The sequence below is a fragment of the Homo sapiens genome, chromosome 3 (genome assembly GCF_000001405.40).
Source record: "Homo sapiens chromosome 3, GRCh38.p14 Primary Assembly".
NCBI classification, from domain to species: Eukaryota; Metazoa; Chordata; class Mammalia; order Primates; family Hominidae; genus Homo; species Homo sapiens.
This window is the reverse complement of record NC_000003.12, coordinates 25137277-25156394: the sequence shown is the minus strand read 5'-3', so window position 1 is coordinate 25156394 and position 19118 is coordinate 25137277. Positions and strand designations below refer to the sequence as shown.

At 39.3% G+C, this 19118-nt stretch overlaps 1 protein-coding gene across 1 annotated transcript in view, besides 2 other annotated features; it reads right to left on the bottom strand.

The window, feature by feature from the left end:
* RARB (retinoic acid receptor beta) overlaps positions 1–19118 on the bottom strand; it is a 768612-nt gene that overhangs the window by 441538 nt on the left and 307956 nt on the right. The window lies entirely within an intron of this gene.
* Positions 403–697: a silencer, noted in NCBI's record as "tiled region #8133; HepG2 Repressive non-DNase unmatched - State 24:Quies". NCBI's record gives its function as "represses a minimal TATA promoter and a strong SV40 promoter by Sharpr-MPRA in HepG2 cells {active_cell/tissue: HepG2}" and the evidence as "EXISTENCE:reporter gene assay evidence [ECO:0000049][PMID:27701403]".
* Positions 4503–4797: a silencer, noted in NCBI's record as "tiled region #14202; K562 Repressive non-DNase unmatched - State 24:Quies". NCBI's record gives its function as "represses a minimal TATA promoter and a strong SV40 promoter by Sharpr-MPRA in K562 cells {active_cell/tissue: K562}" and the evidence as "EXISTENCE:reporter gene assay evidence [ECO:0000049][PMID:27701403]".

The window sequence follows — 19118 nt, the reverse complement described above, 5'->3', positions numbered from 1 at the left end:
CTCAAACAGATGGGATTCCAGGGCTAACTGGCCTCTGTTGAGATGAATGAGATTCCACAACTATTAGCACATTGGCATAGAAATGGGCTGAATTCAGTTGCAGAGGCATTCTTACAGAAACAAAGAAGATCACAAAGCTACCTTGTCCCCAGTGTCCATCAACACAGACCCATTCGTTATCAAATCCCATTCATTCCTGCTAAAGTTACATTCAGTATCAGACGACATTCTTCGGCACCACATGGAAATTCTGAGGATCTGATTATCTATTAACTACTATTGATGCTGATGTGGCTGGTTTGGCTACAGAAGACCAAACAGCACTCTCACAAATGGTGATACAAGTCGAAAAATTGCCAGGCAAAAAATCAAGCACACAGAGAAAAAGCAGACTCACCAATAAACAAATGAACTAAGGCCTCCTGTGTTGGCAAAGGTCACCCAATACATTGAAATTCAATGGAGGGGGTTTTAAGTTAAGGAAAACAGGCAAACACCAGGGAAGCTATCATGTAAAAAGGCTGGGAACCAATGCCCCCTTTCCTATAGAAAGGAGCCAGCATGGGGTATGCTTTGCAGATGGGCTGGGGTAGCAGACAGGCTGCAGAGCACATCTGGCACACAGGTGTATGGCCTTGTGTTCCTAAGCCAGCCATCAACAGTCATGTGGAAAGAGTCCTATTGCTGTTTTGGGTGAAAATCAAGAGGAATTGTAGCTGAGAGATCATAAAGCTTTTTGAAAAAAAGTGTGTGGGTCCCAGCCAAAACATTCTTCCTCCAGATTATATTTTTAATCCACCTACTTAATTAACTAGCTCCTCAGTGGATCAAATGATATTAGTGAGTTAGAGTAATATTGCCACTGGAGCAGTCATTTAATTCTAGCAACTCTAAAGCAAATTATTTCATAAACGGATAGTTTATTCAATTCTGTTCAGTTCCAATTCAATTCTGAGCCCCTTCTATGACCAAAGCACTGAGATAGACCCGTGAGGGAAGACAGTAAGGGAGGAACAATCCCTGCCCACAATCTAACAAGGGAATAGTGACTGCTACAAAATAATAGCAATGCAATGCAAATAAAGTTTACGTGTGCTGGGGTCAGGGGGAAGAGAATTAGTTCTAAAAGGGAGGGTGATCACTTTCATGGCAGGAAAGCAGAAAAGACATGACAGAACAGAGAGCATGGAAGAAAAATGCTAAAAAATACAAAAAAAAGAATTGAGCAGACAAGACAGATATATTGGGGAAGCAATATTTCATTTTAGATGGAATATAATGCATACGGAAAGAGAATAGTGATAAAATCTAAATCAGAGAATGGCAATGAGAAGAAATAACAGAATTGGATGTGAGAATGATAAAATGTTAACAAGTGATTGAATGAATTGGGCAAGTTTCATGAATACTTGCTATGTGTTAGGTCCTACATTGGATGTTGGAATACAAAAGTAAAAGCCATGCTCATGCCACCCCTGCTTCCTCCCAAGTAGCTCACAGCCTACTGGGGAAAAGACAAGCCTTTAGGGTTGGCGCCATGCTCAGATGTAGGTAGGTGCGAGTATTATGAAAGCACACAGGATGCACACCTAGCCAACAAAGGACTGGTTGGGGAAAGGTGACAACTGAACTGGGCAAGGGCCTTCTGCACAAAATATAGAAAATGTAAACTCTGAGCTGGGGAGTAGTAAGAGATTGGAATGGAAAGGAAGGATCTGGATGGAAGACCCTACACATGTAGTTTGGGCAACTGGACTTTTCTCCTGCATGTACCCACTGGTGAGTCATTGGAAGGTCTGAAGTAGGGACATGACATTGTGAGATATGCAAAGGCCACTTTGGCAGCTGTGTGGAAAATGGATTGGTAGCAAAGCTTTGAGGCTGGACAACCAGCCAGGAGACTATTGCAAGGGTCCCACTGAGAGGGCCCAAGACTTTGGTCTCCGCCATGATGAATCCAAAGAACATTAATGAGGGTAGCACAGATAGAATAAGACATAGATTGGACATGGGATTAAAGGAGAGTCAACAATGAAGGCTGACTCCAGAATTCTGGTTTTATAAACCAAGCAAATAACGGTACCCTTCAGCAAGCTAAGGAACTCGGATGGAGCAAAAGGCTTCAGAAAGGATGAACGTAGTTTTGGATGAGTTAATTGAAATGCCTGTGGATATATACTAGCAGATATATCCATTAGCACCGGTTGATGTGAAAACAAGTCAAATCATATAGAATAAAAGGAAAAATCAATAAGATATCTTTAATTGTGTAACACAACATAGCTGGCTTCTTAAAAATCCACATAATCATAGAAGAGAGTGATTTGGAATGAGCATAATAAAAGTGAAAAGCATACAAAGATAAAGTCCAATGCAAAATGCTTTAATGTAGTGTGAATTCTCTGCATTCTTCATGTACCTCTTTAGAGACAACATATTCTTCAGAAGCCTCAGTAAATGTCAACAGGATCTGAGCTCCAATTTGCCTGGCTCTTTAATTGGCCCTCATTGAGAATATTGTGAACAGAATATTGTGCTAAGTACAATGCACAATGTTGAGGAAAGTGTGGCAGAAAGATAAACATCACATGTTCTCACTTGCAGTATCAAAAATCAAAACAGGGCTGGGCAAGTTATCTCATGCCTATAATCCCAGCACTTTGGGAGGCCTGTGCTCTGACCACAGTGAGTACATAATATGCATTGTTAATGTATATTAGGCCTGACTGTTGAAAAACAGCATTCTTAACTACAGTAGCGAATTATTTATCAAACAACTCAGAAGGTTTTCACATTGTTTAATTATAGTTATATATTCTTATTACTGTTTTATATTGGCCCAGTGCACACAGATACTCTAGGCGAGACTTTCCAACCCTAACCTCATTGAATTGTCAGTATCTGATCTGTCCTTTGATAACAGCAGAAGTCGTACAAATGGACTAAAGTCAGTGTACTTTATGGCGGTAACTCGATAAAGAAATTATCTCTGCATGTCCTTCGTAAGGAATGAGATTTTGAGCCACATTTTGGCAGACAGCTCATTAGTGATATTTTTGATGACTAAGCTGATTTGGAAATTGCTTGTTAAAAGTCTGCGGATGACGTGCACAAAACAACACTTCTCTGTGTCTTTGTGCCTCTCTCTGTGTGTAATTGCTATACACATGTTTCCTGGTGAAGAATCAGCATTCAGGACACCTCTACTCTACTGAAAGCATGCACGCACGCATGCACACACACACACACACACACACACTCTGCCTCTATTACTTGGTTGGTTTGGATTATGAATGTTGGACAAGCAATGAAGAATTCCATGAAAGTAGTAATGAAGAGTGCTTATCAATAGATTCAAAATTATTCTGTCCTTTTCCCCTGAAGAAGTTTGTTCCTTTTTTTCCTTCAAACTGTTTGTCATGGTTCTACTTGAAATAATGTGTAGAAGAAGTTTGTATCAAACACTGCAGTCCACCTATTTTCCGAAGTTTTAGATTTTCTTGGAAGCATCATCTGGCTAGTGGCTCCACCTGACCCTATTTTGTTTATGAATTTTGATGTTCACATAGGTCAAAGCATTACTGCTCTAAGTAGCATCTTAAATGATTTTAATACACTCCCATAAAATGTCAGCTGCCAAGACTCACAATTACAGACTCCAAAATATAGGAACTATGTAGAGTCTAATATGTAGAGCCTTTAAAAATATTAAACAGTTTAATGTACCAGGCTGGTTGTATTACTGTGTATGTATGTATGTATGTGTACGTAAACATAATTTTATAATTAAATGTGTATTATATATAAACACACAATATATGTATGTTTCATGGAATAACATATTTTTTTCCTTCCCTGGGAGCAGTGTTTAATTATATCAAATGAAGAATAGTTTACTACATTTTAGTTCTTTGTAAATAAAAGAAAAAGACAGTCGATAACCATTTTCCCCTCACAGTTTTTCCTTGCCACAAAATAAACCCTCTTTGGACCCAAGAAGAACAGAAAGTACCAACTGCTAACCTGCTTTATAACATAATATTTTGTGCCAACTTAAAAATATGTCAACTAGGTTTGCAGTGGAAAAGGGTAAAATTTTTAGCCAAGTTTTCCTAAAATAAAAAGACAAGTGAGTTGAAAGCACAGCAATTCAAAATCAGAGAAAAAACAACTCTACCGACATCCACATGTCTAGAGAGTATTTAAACTATTTCACTTTATAAACTTCAACGGGAGATATGATTTCTGGTGTTCTGGCTTATAGAATCACTTGGGAATGAATAATTCATAGGCTTTTTACCAAGCCTCAAGTGTAAATCAGTCAAATATAGCAACATGATATTCATGCTGAATTTTTAAGTACTTAAAACATTTAGATGGAAACTTTTTCTTTTCAAGAGAGAGGGAAGAAGAATGTCATTTTCCCTCTGCTCACGTTGCCCAGGCATACTTTCATTTTGTACTTTAAAAAAAAAAATCTATAAAAAGGGATTTAATTAAACAATAAAACAGTTAACAGTAGCTGAAGTGAAGAAAAGCCACAAAAACTTTCTCAGTGTTATGTTTTCCGTATTAACATACTGATGGGAAACTAAACAGAAAAGCAATCTAATAACAAACATTCCTTTGAGACGTGTTCAGGGAGCAAAAGGACATCCACTTATTGTTCCGCCCATCCGATTGGTCCATATATGGCAATAAAGGTACAATAGACGGAAACAGGAAACAGACTGGCACATCTGTAGTATCTTATTAGCAACTAATGGATATCTGAGAAGAACACGCATATAATGCTGAATCGTCTGTACCAATCTCCTAAGCAATTACTCTTAATTAGTAGGTTCTGTTTATAGATTCAACTTAGTGTACCCTTATGCATCAAAGAGACGAAGGCAGCTGGAGAAAGAAATGACGCTCTTAAAGGAAAAGTATTACAAGATGTTGGTGGATTTCTTCCTGGTACAGTGAAACTTAATGTCTTTCCCTGCCCTGGGGTAAGGAGCTTTCCCTTTTGTGAACGATTAAAGAAAAGAGAGAACAAAATTTCTAAGGCAGGCTAAATGAAAAAAGTGTTCTTGCCATTTGCTTCAGGGAAATGCAAAGAAAGTCAGCAAAACCAAATAATTGTGCAGGATGAAGACACTACCCTCATACTGTAACTCTAACCATTTCCAGGAGGCTCCATCTTTCCCCCTCCAAATGCAGTGCTTTAATTCAGAAATGCGGCACCTGCATTTAGTGTCTGCCAAATGGAAAGCCAAGGGGCAAAATGGGCGGTGTGACCAGCTTTATCTCCATAAAAAAGAGAACACAAAATGAGTTTTCCAGGCCACTCTAGTCAAAGGGGATCTGAGTATATACATGGAGCCACTGAGCCAACTGCCCACTTCTATAAATGGGAAAATATTGTATAGATTAGCATCCCCTCACCCCCAACGTATATCACATAAACTGCCTTATGAGCAAAAACAAGAAATTCCTTTTGGGTAGTGGATATTCAGTTTGTACATTACTATTCCCATGCACACCGTTGTCTAGGTATTTTTCCTAAAGAGAGCCAACACTGCGGTCCTGTCTCTTGGGTTTCTAAAACTACTAGAAGGCTGGATTCTTTGTTTCTGATTATTTTTGCAATACATTATTGCACTCTCTTGGAAGTTCAAAGAAGTTCTTTCCTGGTCTCCTGGAATTCTGTTTAAAAAGATCATTGTGAATACACAACCAGTGTACCAATATCTAACCTGGGGCTGTTCTCTCAAATGATTGTACTCTATGTATACATAAGAAAAGTAGGCTGGATTTCTTAAAAGGGTGGAGGAGAAATTTTCTTTCTTGTCCATAGTTTACCACAGATCAAGGTAGAATGATCTTTTTTGGCATCTGTCATTCTGAATGTTTAGAAGTCTATACATGAACCACTCCCTCCCCAAAGCACTCAGACCATGAGAAACCAAACAACTGGCCTTTTTCACTGGCTTAACTGTTCAAAGGAAAGGTGGAATGCTGCCAGCCAGGATTGGGGCTCTGGGAGTCAGTGCTGGGCTTATTCTCCCTTGGGAATCCTGTCCCTTCCTGAAACCAGCTCCAGAGGTACTCCTCTGTTTGTCAGATGAACTAGTCTCCATTGAGCATTTGCTCTGTTTCATCATGCTATGCGTATCAGGTTAGATGTTTAACAATTTTTTTTTTTTTTTGAGACAGAGCCTTGCTCTGTCATCCAGGCTGGAGTGCAGTGATGCGATCTCGGCTCACTGCAACCTGTGCCTCCCAGGTTCAAGCGATTCTTCTGCCTCAGCCTCCGAGTAGCTGGTATTACAGGTGCCCACCACCATGCCCAGCTAATTTTTGTATTTTTAGTAGAGACAGGGTTTCACCATATCGGTCATGTTGGTCTCAAACTCCTGACCTCAGGTGATCCACCTACCTCGGCCTCTCAAAGTGCTGGGATTACAGAAGTGAGCCACTGTGCCTGACCAGATATTTAAGATTAAAAAAAAATGTTCTGCTGCTTATGCATATGGGTAAAGTTGTTAAAATTTCATTAAGTGTATAGATGGCATTCTTCTGCTCTCGTGAGGAGTATGACACAGTTGTAGCCAAAGAATGACATGCAAATGGAGACCTTCTTCATTTAACAAAGATGGGGAGAGGGGAGGTGGGACAGAGGGACAGAGAGAGACAGGGTACGTTATACATGCATCTAATTCATGCACAGGTAAACTGTATGAGCTGTGGGTATGGGAGGTGAGTGGGAGACAGAAAGAAACAATTTAAATAGTAGAGGGTGATTCTGTCTTCCCTCTGAATGACTTGCATTCCAGCACTGGAGTAAAATGTGGGACTTGATTGCACCATATCCTCAGTTAGCCTCTTTTCCCATGCAGCTTTGGCAATGCGTTTGTGAGCATCACTCCATCATGGAAATGGTTTGGAGAAGTCACTCACCCACAATCACATTTTCTGGTAGAACTATGGTTAGCATATATGCTCTTTATTATATACCAAATATTATTCCACAGGTTGTACATTTACATAAATATATTACTGCAAAGGATTGCAGACGACAAACCAGGCATGAATGAACTATTTGATTTTCTGGGTAAATTTGACAAAATTCGATTGTCAAATAGAAGCATTCTTCACAAATTTTAGAAACCATTCCTATGGAAGATTAATTGTAATGCCACTATATATTTTTTCTGTAGGCTAAATCATTCCCTCTCCTCCCCAATCTCATCACCCTTCTCTCATCAAAATGTGTATGGGTGGTAATTATTTTTTCTCCCCCTGCTCAAGAGTGTTACTTCTTGAAGAAGTTCAGAAAAAGGTGATGGGATGGCCATGTTGCTAGGAAGTTTCCAGTCTGACTCCTTAGCATATCAAAGTAAAACTAGTTCTTTACTTATCTCATATTTTTCTACTGCTCAGAGGCTACAAAGATAGGCCAGAGAGAGGAATGTTTGAAGTGAGCTAAGAGGAAGGAGATAAAATGAAAAAAGATAGGGGAAGAAGCCATGCACAACCTTTTTCAGGGGCTGGCTGTGCATGGGTAGACATCCAAGCTGTGGCTTTAAAAGGAGAAAGGGAATATTTGGCAACTACTTACAAGGTACAAGGCTCTGTGATAGATATATTTTCACATATAATTATGTTCAATCCTTTCAGTAATGCTGAGAGGCAATATTTACTCTTTACACATGAGGAAACTGAGGCACAGAGCTATGAGATATGCTTAAGATCACAAAGGTAAGGAACCTTTAATAATACAGTCTATACTTGTATTTTCCACTGCACCACACGCTTCCATAAAAGTACAGCGACAGTGATTACTTAGTAATTAGTGATTATGTCAGTAAATACCGTAGAAATGGCCCCTGTAAATCAAACTCAAAGAAGATCCAGTAGAGAAAGCTATAAAAACCCTTAAAAGAGATATTTCTTACTGATATACATTCACTGATTCAATAGAATCCCCTGATCCAATGATTTTGTAACATATCAAGGTTGTAATTTATGAGACCATTTAAAAATTATTTTTGTAAAGTATCTGCCATGTTCACCAACACATATGTTCTTTAAAAATGTCTGCCATCTATTAATTGAAACAATTCTGTCTCTAGCCAGTGAATTGAACGGTGTGTTTCTTAGACCTGCCAGCAAAATGCCCCCCTGATTGGCTCATTCAGAAGGCTTACATCAATATGTTGGGGTGTTAATGTCTCTTAACCATTGCAACTTCTGTAATAAACAAAAGTGTAACTTACATACCCAGTTAGGAATTCTCTTTTTGGCTACAAGTAACAGAATTCCTGAGTGGTTTAAGTGGCAAAAGGGTTTGACTAGATCACATAAACAGTAGTCTGTAGACAAGGCAGACCAGAGGAGGAATGTGGTTCAAATAAAATCATCAAAGACCCCAGACCCTCCAATATTTTCCTACCTTCATTAATGTGTTGGCTTTTTGCCTCACAATTACAGATGTATTCAATGTAGGAAGAAGAGGGAGACAATATGAAAGGGTATGAATCAGTTTTACCAGGAAAACCAAGCTTTATTGAAGGGATGGTGCAGGTTTCAGCTTAAGTCTCATTGGCTAGAACCATGTCACATGTCCAGCCCTCTTTGCAATGGAAACTGCAACAGTGAGTAGCTTTTCTAGCTTCTTCAGTAGAAGGTAATATGGGAGGATGCCTAGGTATTCCTTACACCAGCTTATAGTTACTATCACTTACAAACAAATGTCAGGTCTTATATAATTTATGTTTATCCTCCGTATTCAAGAAATGGAAAATCTTCCTGATCCTAGACCATCAACCTGATTAGAAGAGTAACCACTTTTCTTTCATTCAAAACTGGAATTCTTATTTTGAAAATGAGATATAACACTTCAACACAACCCAGGAAAATCTATGTCATATAGTTATATGCTTTCTAGATTAGGACAATATTCAAAATCTCTACTCTAGAAGAAGTAACCTTGTTAAGCAGTATAGGGCACCCCAGAGATGTGGCCATGGCACATTGGAACAAGGGGCTGCCCTGACATGGATGAACTCACAGGATTAGCAGGGGTCTCCTAGCCTTGGTGTTGGGAAGAACCGGTAGAACAAGTCATATTTCAAGGAGAGGATGGGGAAGAGAGGACAAGTTTTCCAAACCCACCTGAAGATAATCACCTAGAGTGCTTGTTAAAATATAGATACCTGGGTTGCAACCCAAAACTGAATCAAAATTTTCAGAAAATACCTCTGGAAATTGTGTCCCCCAATGAATTTTATCTTCACGTGAGTTTAGAAACACTAACATCTATTCCCCACCCTGGCTGCTCACTAGAATCATCTGGAGAGCTTGGATAAATAACACCCATGACTAGAGCCCCATCCTCGACCAAATAACAAGAGCACATAGCCCAGGCATTCATAGTGTTAAAAACATTTCTGGCAAGTCTACCATGCAGTTCTGACATTACCTGCACTCGATCAAAGGAAGGGTCTCTGGTATGGAAGCCCATATGCAGTACGACAGCTTAGCGAAAAAGCTGAAAGCGCCAAAAGAATGAATTCAGAACTTAGCAAATGCCGGGCGCCGTGGCTCATGCCTGTAATCCTAGCACTTTGGGAGGCCAAGGTGGGCGGATCATGAGGTCAGGAGATCGAGACTATCCTGGCTAACATGGTGAAACCCCGTCTCTACTAAAAAATACAAAAAAAACCCCACAAAAAATTAGCCGGGCGCGGTGGCAGGCGCTAGTCCCAGCTACTGGGGAGGCTGAGGCAGGAGAATGGCGAGAACCCGGGAGGCGGAGCTTGCAGTGAGCCGAGATCGCGCCATTGCACTCCAGCCTGGGCAACAGAGCGAGACTCTTGTCTCAAAAAAAAAAAAACAAACAAACAAACAAAAAACTTAGCAAATTATAGCCTGCAGGCTGAGTCCTCTAGCCTGTGTGTTTTTGCAAATTAATTTTTATTGGGATATAACCCTGCCCCCTTTAACATATATTGTCTATGGCTGCTTCCCACCCTGTAATGACAAAAGTGAATAGTCGTGGCCAAGATGATATGTGGTCCCCCCATAGCCCCAAATATTTACTATCTGGCCCATTCTAGGAAAAGTTTACCAACTTCTGAACTAATTGAACATTTAGATCAAGAGTAGTTGATAAATAATAACAATGACTGATTATACATAAGACATGGGTGCCTTGTCTCTATTAGCTCCTTAATCTTCATTTTACCAAGAAGAAAACCAAATATCTGAGAGGTCAAGAAACTCATCTAAGGTCACAGAGCTAGTGAGGGGCAAGGCCAGGATTTGCATGCAGGCTGCCTGACTCTAGGACTCACATACATGTTTGAATCAGTATGTCTCTTAGGCATGAATTTTTTTTTTTTTAGATGAAGTTTTACTCTTTGTTGCCCAGGCTGAAGTGCAGTGGCGTGATCTCACCTCACTGCAACCTCTGTCTCCTGGGTTCAAGTGATTCTCCTGCCTCAGCCTCCCAAGTAGCTGGGATTATAGGCACCCCCTACCATGCCTGGTTAATATTTTTTTTTGTATTTTTAGTAGAGATGGGGTTTTACCATGTTGGCCAGGCTGGTCTCGAACTCCTGACCTCAGGTGAGCCACCCAAAGTGCTAGGATTAAAGGTGTGGGCCACCATGCCTGGCCAGGCATGAATTTTTTGACAAGGTATAAGAAGAGCAATATCATTCCAATTTTCTAGCTAGTAATAAGTCAGGAGGACAGACATATGTCTGAACTAATCTAAGCAAGCACTTGCCTTTTCCCTTGTGCCTAATGTCCACTGGAACAATCAGACTGAACAGGATTCATTTTTTTAGCAAGCTTGAAAAATGGTGAGTGCTGAACTGTACAATTTCTTTTTCTTTTTTTTGAAATTTACAATTTTCAATATGAGTAACTCTATAAGCTGAAGCTCTAAGAATCACTCAAAGTTCCCAGACATGTGGCATTATGATCACTTCCTTGGCTGCATTAAACCTCACACCCTTAATTTGTTCTGTGATATATTCAATATGTTCCTAGTTTTCCACAGGGTCAGCAGGATAGACAGTTTGCTGGTAAAGATTACAGACATTATTCTGGAACCACCATTGCCGTGGCTTTCTGTCAAGGGAACAGGGAGGCATTTGGAAGAGAAGAGCATGCAACCATTAAAGACAGAGGAACAAAGACCATGTGGTAGCTGGTAAGACAAAAATAGCAATTTTATTGTCAATATTTTGCTTTACAGGGAGCCAATAAAGCAACTGAAACATAAATTAGATGCTGAGACAACTCAGTCTACAGAAGGGCCTTGGGAGTAGCTTCTGGATCATCTGCCACTGACGATAGAGCCCACAGCCTCTTAGGTGCAAAGACAAAAGCCAGAACAGGTCTGTGTCTTTCTCTAGTCAATCTGCATTCCAAAATGTTGTAAATTATGAAAGTTAGGCATACTGTATGCTGAAGTGCTAATTAGACAAGGTAAATTAAAGGTGGCAAGAGTCTGCCATCACACCACTCCACCAAAATTCATTTATTGTTCATTTATTGAAGAATGTATTGTTCATTAGTCCATATAGCCTCGAGGTATACGGGCTGATCACATGCTCCTATCGGCCAGGCATTCTAGCTTTGTTTTCTGTGCATACCAGACATTGAAAATGTGAGACCATTGCTAAGTATGCTAGCAGTAGTGTTATTCATCAATGGGAGAAGTTAGCCCAATCTACCTAATGTTAACATCAATCCAAATAAGCTTGTTAAGCACCTGGCACTATGCCAACTACCCAGGTATTATTTGAAGAATGTATGGCTTAGGGAAACTTTTCCTTTTTTGGCCTTGCTACATCACATTGCCACTTTTTAAATGTTGTATTATATGCATTTGATCTGAATTTTTTAACTAGAGAACACGGGTCTCTAGTTCTTTGCTGACCTTCTCCCTTACCACTCTATGCTTTGGGAATAGCTTGCCTTGTAGCTCCTCACCAACCCCCTCCAGAACCTCCTCAAAACTGTTTTTGTTGTTCAGAATTTTAGCAAAGGAGTGTGAGCCTCTCTTCCCCATGAGGTAACAATTCCATTTTCTTCAAGCAGAATTTGAAGGGCCTCTTCGATTCTGAATCCTCAGTGTACTGGTCTAGAAGGTTTTTAAGTACCCTGCCATCTTCTGTACTGTATTAACTTTTCAGATACTTATCTAATTCATCCCTGCAAGAATGTACAATCCTTGAGGCTGGAAACCTTATATAAGTAGTTGCTCAACAAATTCTGTTGAATGTATGAACTAAGGTTGTCAGCAACAGGTGAGTCTACCTGGTTAAAGAGGAATGCAAATTGATTCCCATAAGAAAAAATTTTGTTCTGGGGCCTTTGACTCTGGCAAGGTTATGAATATCTTTCATAGAAAGTGAACTGGGTTGATTTCTCCCACTTAGAGCTGCGAGGAAAGGAAATGAGTATTTCTAGGTGACTGCTGAGCTTTAGGCACTGTGCTGTCTTTTGTTGCTTGATGCCAGGCACTTTTCACACATCACTTCATTTAATCCTCTCAACAGCCCATTGTACAAATTAGGAAATTGGAGACCCAAAGAAGTTCAGCTACATGCTTCAAGTCACGTAACTCCAAGGGCCAGGGCAGCATTTGAACTCAAGCAGTCTAATTCCAAAGTACGCATACTCATCCACTGAGTTACATTGCTTCTAAGTCTAAAAGTTGGGTGGTTTGGGGTTGCTCAGGTTCAGTGTTATGACAGAGGAGATGTAAAGACCTACAGAGGCTACCAGGGCACCGTGTGGGCATCTCTGAATTAAGGAGGAGTGCCTAAGCTTGAAAGACAAAGTACCAGGTAACCAACTCTAACCTGAGCTTGTGTGACACACACCTTTGGAATGCCTCCCTACTGGAGGCTGCCTCATCATCTTTTGGATCGGGTGGGCCTCAATCCACATCTGAACACTAGGCTAAACTAAATTACACAGCTTGGCTAAGTTGTGTACTAGAGGGGTTTTTTGGGAAAAACAGCAGATAAATGGATTCTATTTGGGATTTACACAGGAAAACCAGTTCTTACAGTGCCTCAGCAACTCACCTTCCCTCTTCATCCTACACTGTCAGAAAAGCTTAGTAGCTGCCTCTTGCAATTTGCCTCAACGTGTTACCAGCTGCTAGCAGCTGCTAGCTAAATTACAAACTCTGAGAGACTGCTAGGTGAGTTGGGAGTGTGTGTCTAAGTACAGGCTCCTGAATGGCAAAAAGAGCAAATAATTCATTGTCAGGTGATGATTTACCTGGTATCACTGGATACTCCAGGCTAACTTCTACTCAGAATAAATGCCCCTCAGCTAAAGGCTCAACTTTTCTGCCTGCTCCAGCATTCTTTCAGAAATAGTCCAGAAAATTCCTATCACTACTGTGACTTTTTTTTAAATATAATATGTATTTTATGTAGATATTATCTCTGAGACTGGATCAGCCATCCAGCAGAGGATCAGACACGGGGACAGGTCTGCTTTTGTTTACTGAAGACGGCAATTCCTCAGTGGCCACATTTTCTCCCGCATCTTGACCACAGAGCCCGAGGTAAAACTCAGACCTGCCAGCTATAGATTGCAGCCCATTTGCTGACTGCTCTGCTCTTGGTTTCTGGAGGCTTTCTGGGAGGCAGCATTTCCCCTTCAAAAGGTAGAAATATCATCTGTCTGTTAACCCAAAGTTACCTTTCCCCCAAAGCTAATGATGGCAAACGGCCATGCTCTCAGATATGACACAGATGGGATATTTACCAAAAAAAAAAAAAATACAGGCAGTGATTTCCTGCATTGGGAGAGAATGCTAGTGGGAGAGGGAAGGACATAGAGATTATATCTTTGCCTCAAAGTATTATTATGAAAGATCAATGAAGCAGTATAGGGTGTAGCTTATAAAGGTATCCGGCAGGACTTCTCAAACTTTCATAGGCATGCCAGCCACTTGGGGGTCTTGTTAAAATGCAGATCCTGATTCAATGGTTCTGAGTTGCATCTCAAGATTTTTTTTTTATTATTTCTTTTTTGAGATGGAGTCTTGCTCTTGTTGCTCAGGCTGAAGTGCAGTGGCACGATCTAGGTTAACTGCAACTTCCACCTCCCAGGTTCAAGCGATTCTCCTGCCTCAGCCTCCTGAGTAGCTGGGACTACAGGTGCCCGCCACCATGCCTGGTTAATTTTTGTGCTTTTTTAGTAGAGACGGGGTTTCGCCACGTTGGCCAGGCTGGTCTTGAACTCCTGACCTCAGATGATCTGTCCGCCTCATCCTCCCAAAGTGTTGGCATCACAGGCGTGAGCCACCGCACACGGCCAAGATGTTTTATGTCTAACAAGCTCTCAGGTGAGACTGATGCTGCTGGTCCTAGGACTACACTTGGAATAACAAGACTTTAAAATATTCTACACATGGATGTCATGAGTATTAGTAAGTATTTCCAATGCTCAATCTTATAACCGAGAAATTGGTCACATGCATGTATCCTACTGACCTGATTTTCATGCCGTTATGCTGCCTGTAGAAGGTGAGGGAGATACTTCATATATTATAAAAGTAGCTTCATTTTATTAAAATCTAGATTTACCAAACTGATTTATACTTCTTAGAATTCACCTTAGGATTCCTAAAAGTAGAAAGCACTCCTTTTAAGAAAATATGATTTTTAAAGCCCTAATTTAAATATACAGGTGCAGAAAGCCATTTATAACTAAACTGTGAAATATCTAGATTGGAAAATGGTGGCAAGGAGTTAATATCACAGGATTGAAATGATAGCCCTTTCATTTTCTGTAGATTTGAATGACTACATCTCCCATGGTCCTAAGGCTTTTAGGTACTCCAGGCAATGGGAGGCAAGATTTCCATGGATGCTGCCTCTCCTAAGACCCTCTGAAATTGGCAGATCATTCTACCTATCAGTGGCCACCTAAAGTGGTAAATTGGGTCAGCCCAAATAGGTCAGGTGCTTCTTCAAAAACCACTGAAGACATAGAGTTAAGCTAAAAACAAATCAAAGGAACCCGAAGTTAATTCTATTTGTACCATCCTTATTCATCTAGTATATTGAATTTAGATAGTGGTAGAATGTATGTTTGTCAGTGTCAAAAGTCATGCAAGGACAGGCAAATATCTTTTAAGAACGTTTATGAGTTTCCCGGGTCTAAGAATTTCATCTCATAGTGTTATTGAACCATCTTTTAGAGAACTATATTTTATAAGGGATATGACAAAAGAGACACATTTTTTAATATCGGTATACCTCAAAGATATTACATGTTTAGTTCCAGACCACTGCAATAAAGTGAATATTGTAATAAAGTTAGTCACACAAATGTTTTGGTTTCCCAGGGCATATGAGATTTAGGTTAATATACTTGAGTATATTAAGTGTGCATCAGCATTGTGTCTAAAAAAGTCATCTACATAACTTAATTTTAAAATAGTTTATTGTTAAAAATTGCTAATGATCACCTGAGCCTTCAGTGAGTCATAACCTTTTTGTTGGTGGAGGTCTTGCCTCAATGTGGATGAGTGATTACTGATGGATTGGGGCATTAGTTGGGTGGCTGTGGCAATTTCTTAAAAAAAGATAATAATGAAGTTTTCTATACCCTTTCTCAAAAGATTTCTCTGTAACATGCAATGCTGTTTGATAGCATTTTACCCACAGGAGAATTTCTTTCAAAATTGGAGTCAATCCTTTCAACCTCTGCTATTGCTTTATCAACTAAGTTTATGGAATATTCTAAATGTTTCGTTGTCATTTCAACAATGTTCACAGCATCTTCACCAGGAATATATTCCATCTCAATAAACCATTTTCTTTGGTCATCCACAAGAAGCAACTCCTCATCTCTTCAAGTTTGATCTTGAGACCGTAGCAACCCAGTCACATATTTAGGCTCCACTTCTGATTCTTGCTCTCTTGCTATTTTCACCACATCTTCAGTTACTTCATCCAGTAGAGTTTTGAACCTCTCAAACTCATCCATGAGGGCTGGAATCAACTTCTTCCAAATTCCTGCCAAAATGTGGGTATTTTGACTTCCTCCCATGAATCACAAATGTTGTTAATGACATCTGGAATGTTGAATTATTTCTAGAAGATTTTCAATTAACTCTGCCAAAATCCATCAGAGAAATCACTATCTATGGCAGCTGTACCTTACAAAATGTATTTATTAAATAATAAGGCCTAAAAGTTGAAGTTACTTCTTGATTCATGGGCTACAGAATAGGTGTTGTGTTCAAACAAACAAACAAACCAACAAAAAAAAAACCATGTCCTTGTATATCTCCACCTCTTGAGTGACCAGGTGCATTACAGTAAGCAATAATATTTTGAAGGAAAATCTTTTTCTGAGCAGGTTTCAAAAATAGGCTTAAAATATTAAGTAAACCTGGCTGCAAACAGATGTGCTGTCATCCACACTTTGTTGTTCCACTTATAGAGCACAGGTACAGTAAAGTTTGCATAATTATTAAGGGCCCTAAGACTTTTGGAATGATCAATGAGCATTGGCTTAAAGTCATCAGCTGCATTAGCCCCTAAAAAGAGAGACTGTCCTTTGAATCCATGCACTGACTTCTCCTCTTTAGCTATGATAGTCCCAGATGGCATCTTTTTCCAATATAAGGTTGTTTCCTCTACATAGAAAATCTGCTTAGTGTAGCCACCTTCATCAATTATCCTACCTAGTCTTCTGTGTAACTTGATGTACCTTTTTCCATCAGCACTTGCTGCTTCACCTTGAACTTTTATGTTATGGAGATGGCTTTGCTTAAATCTCAGAAACCAACTTCTGCTAGTTTCAAACTTTTTTTCCAGCAGCTTCCTCATCTCTCTTAGCCTTGATGGCATTGAAGTGAGTTAGGACTTTGCTCTGGATTAGGTGTTAAGGGAATGTTGTGACTGGTTTGATCTTCTATCCACACCACTAAAACTTTCTCCGTATCAGCAATAAGGCTGTTTCATTTTATTATTGTTAGTGTGCTCACTGGAGTAGCACTTTTAATTTCCTTCAAGAACTTTTCTTCCACATTCACAACTTGGCTGTTTGGTGCAAGAGACTTAGCTTTCAGCCTCTTTTGGCTTTCTTCACTAAGTTTAATCATTTCTAGCTTTTGATTTAAAAGGTGAGACTTGTTACTCTTTCTTTCATTTAGAGGCTATTGTAGGGTTATTAATCAGCCTAATTTCAGTATTGTTGTGTCTCAGGGAATATGGAAGTTGGAAAAGAGGGAGACAAGGAATGGCTTGGTGGGTTGAGCAGTCAGAACACACACACTATTTATCAATTAAGTTCCCCATCTTAAATGGGCATGGTTCTTTGTGCCCTCAAACAATTACAACAGTAACATCAAAGAATGCTGAATCTTAACAGATAAAATAATAATGAAAAAGTTTGAAATATTCAGAGAATATTTGTGACAGAGACAGGAAGTGAGCACATTCTGCTGGAAACAGTGCTAACAGACTTGATCAACACAGGGTTGCCACAAGCCTTCAATTTGTAAAATATACAATATCTGCAAAGTACAATAAAGCAAAGCACAATATAATGAGGTATGTCTGCACAGAATTCTTATTAAATGTTAATTAATTTAGTCAAGTTAAAATTGAAACTAACAGTTTCACTCTTTTGCTTATATGTGGTTTCAATAAAAAATAATTGTCCATGCAGATACATTAGGATGACAATTTCTATAGATAACTGATAACTGTAATAAACATAATCTTGAACTTCCACCTTGATTTTCTTTTCCTAGAAACTAATGTTTTTAAATGTCCATTCATGCTCAAATCTATCAAGAAAGAGACTCATGTTACTAATTAGAATTCTGATTTAAAGCTTAAATAGAAACAGTAAAAGGCAAATGCAAGTTGAATATTGGTCTATTTTGCATTACTCTATATACCTTGGTACAACAAACCAGGGGCAGGGACTGAATCAATGGTCCTTTTTAAAGCAATGTTCAACCTAGAACCTGGCAGGATTTTCCTTTGGCTACCAAAAAAAAAAAAAAACTCAATTATAGTGCTGCTTTCAAAAGGTTGTATCACAGACTGGAGGCAAAATATAAACAGCTAACTGGTCATAATTTCTTCATGGATATATCTGTTTTCATCTATGTACAGTGGTAATTTGACTATTCCCCAAAAGTCTCCAATCACTTTGTGACTATTGGGCCACGCCAGATGTTGGGGAATTGCTTTAAATGCAGGCTTGTAGCTCCCTGAAGACCGAAATTCTCAGTAACCCCAAGATATATTATCTGAAGTCAAAACAAAGCCTTCTTGACTTGTTCTGCTAGACTTTTATCTCTTCAGTTGCCTGACCATGCCTTTCCTGAATGAGATCTCAAATTTGATCTTAGGTAAAAAGGATGTTTTGAGGATCTTTACTCTTGTGTAGACAATGGCTATTTCAGAGAGCTCTGGTATTTCAAAAGCAGAATCTTCTTTTAAACTCAACTACCTCTTGCCTTCAGGTCTTACAAAGTAGTTTCGCCTCTCAGTCATGGCTGTGGGCCGAAAGGACAGGGTGATTGGGAATTAGAAGGGTGGACTCTGGCTAACATTCCTTATAGAATGCCAATGGGACCTCAGGGTAAGTATATGGCTTCTCATCACACAGCTATTTAAATGACAATAAACAAAGTTGCAACAAAGAGGCCTTCAATGGGCCTGGTAAATCTTCCACTAAGATATTAATTTCCACTAGAAATTGAGAATTACAGTTAAATTCAATAAGAGTGATTATAATTTATAAAGCTCTTCAAACTTTAACATCTATGTGGAAAATAAGAAAATTTTCTACTAAAATCAAAACTCCTTTGCTTTTTCTATATCTGACCAAACTAATTTCACTGGGTTTTTCTGTAAGTTACTGTAAAATATTGATAAACCAACCCCAAACCTGTAACATATATGACCCAGTAGTCCTGAATTTCAGCATTACCAAGCTTTTTTAAAGCTAAAGAGAAGGGAACAAAAATCACATCCTTTACTGATGTGCATTTCACCATTGAAATGAAAATATATCTTAAAATATCAAGCTCTGTCCTATGTAAGAAATGATAAATT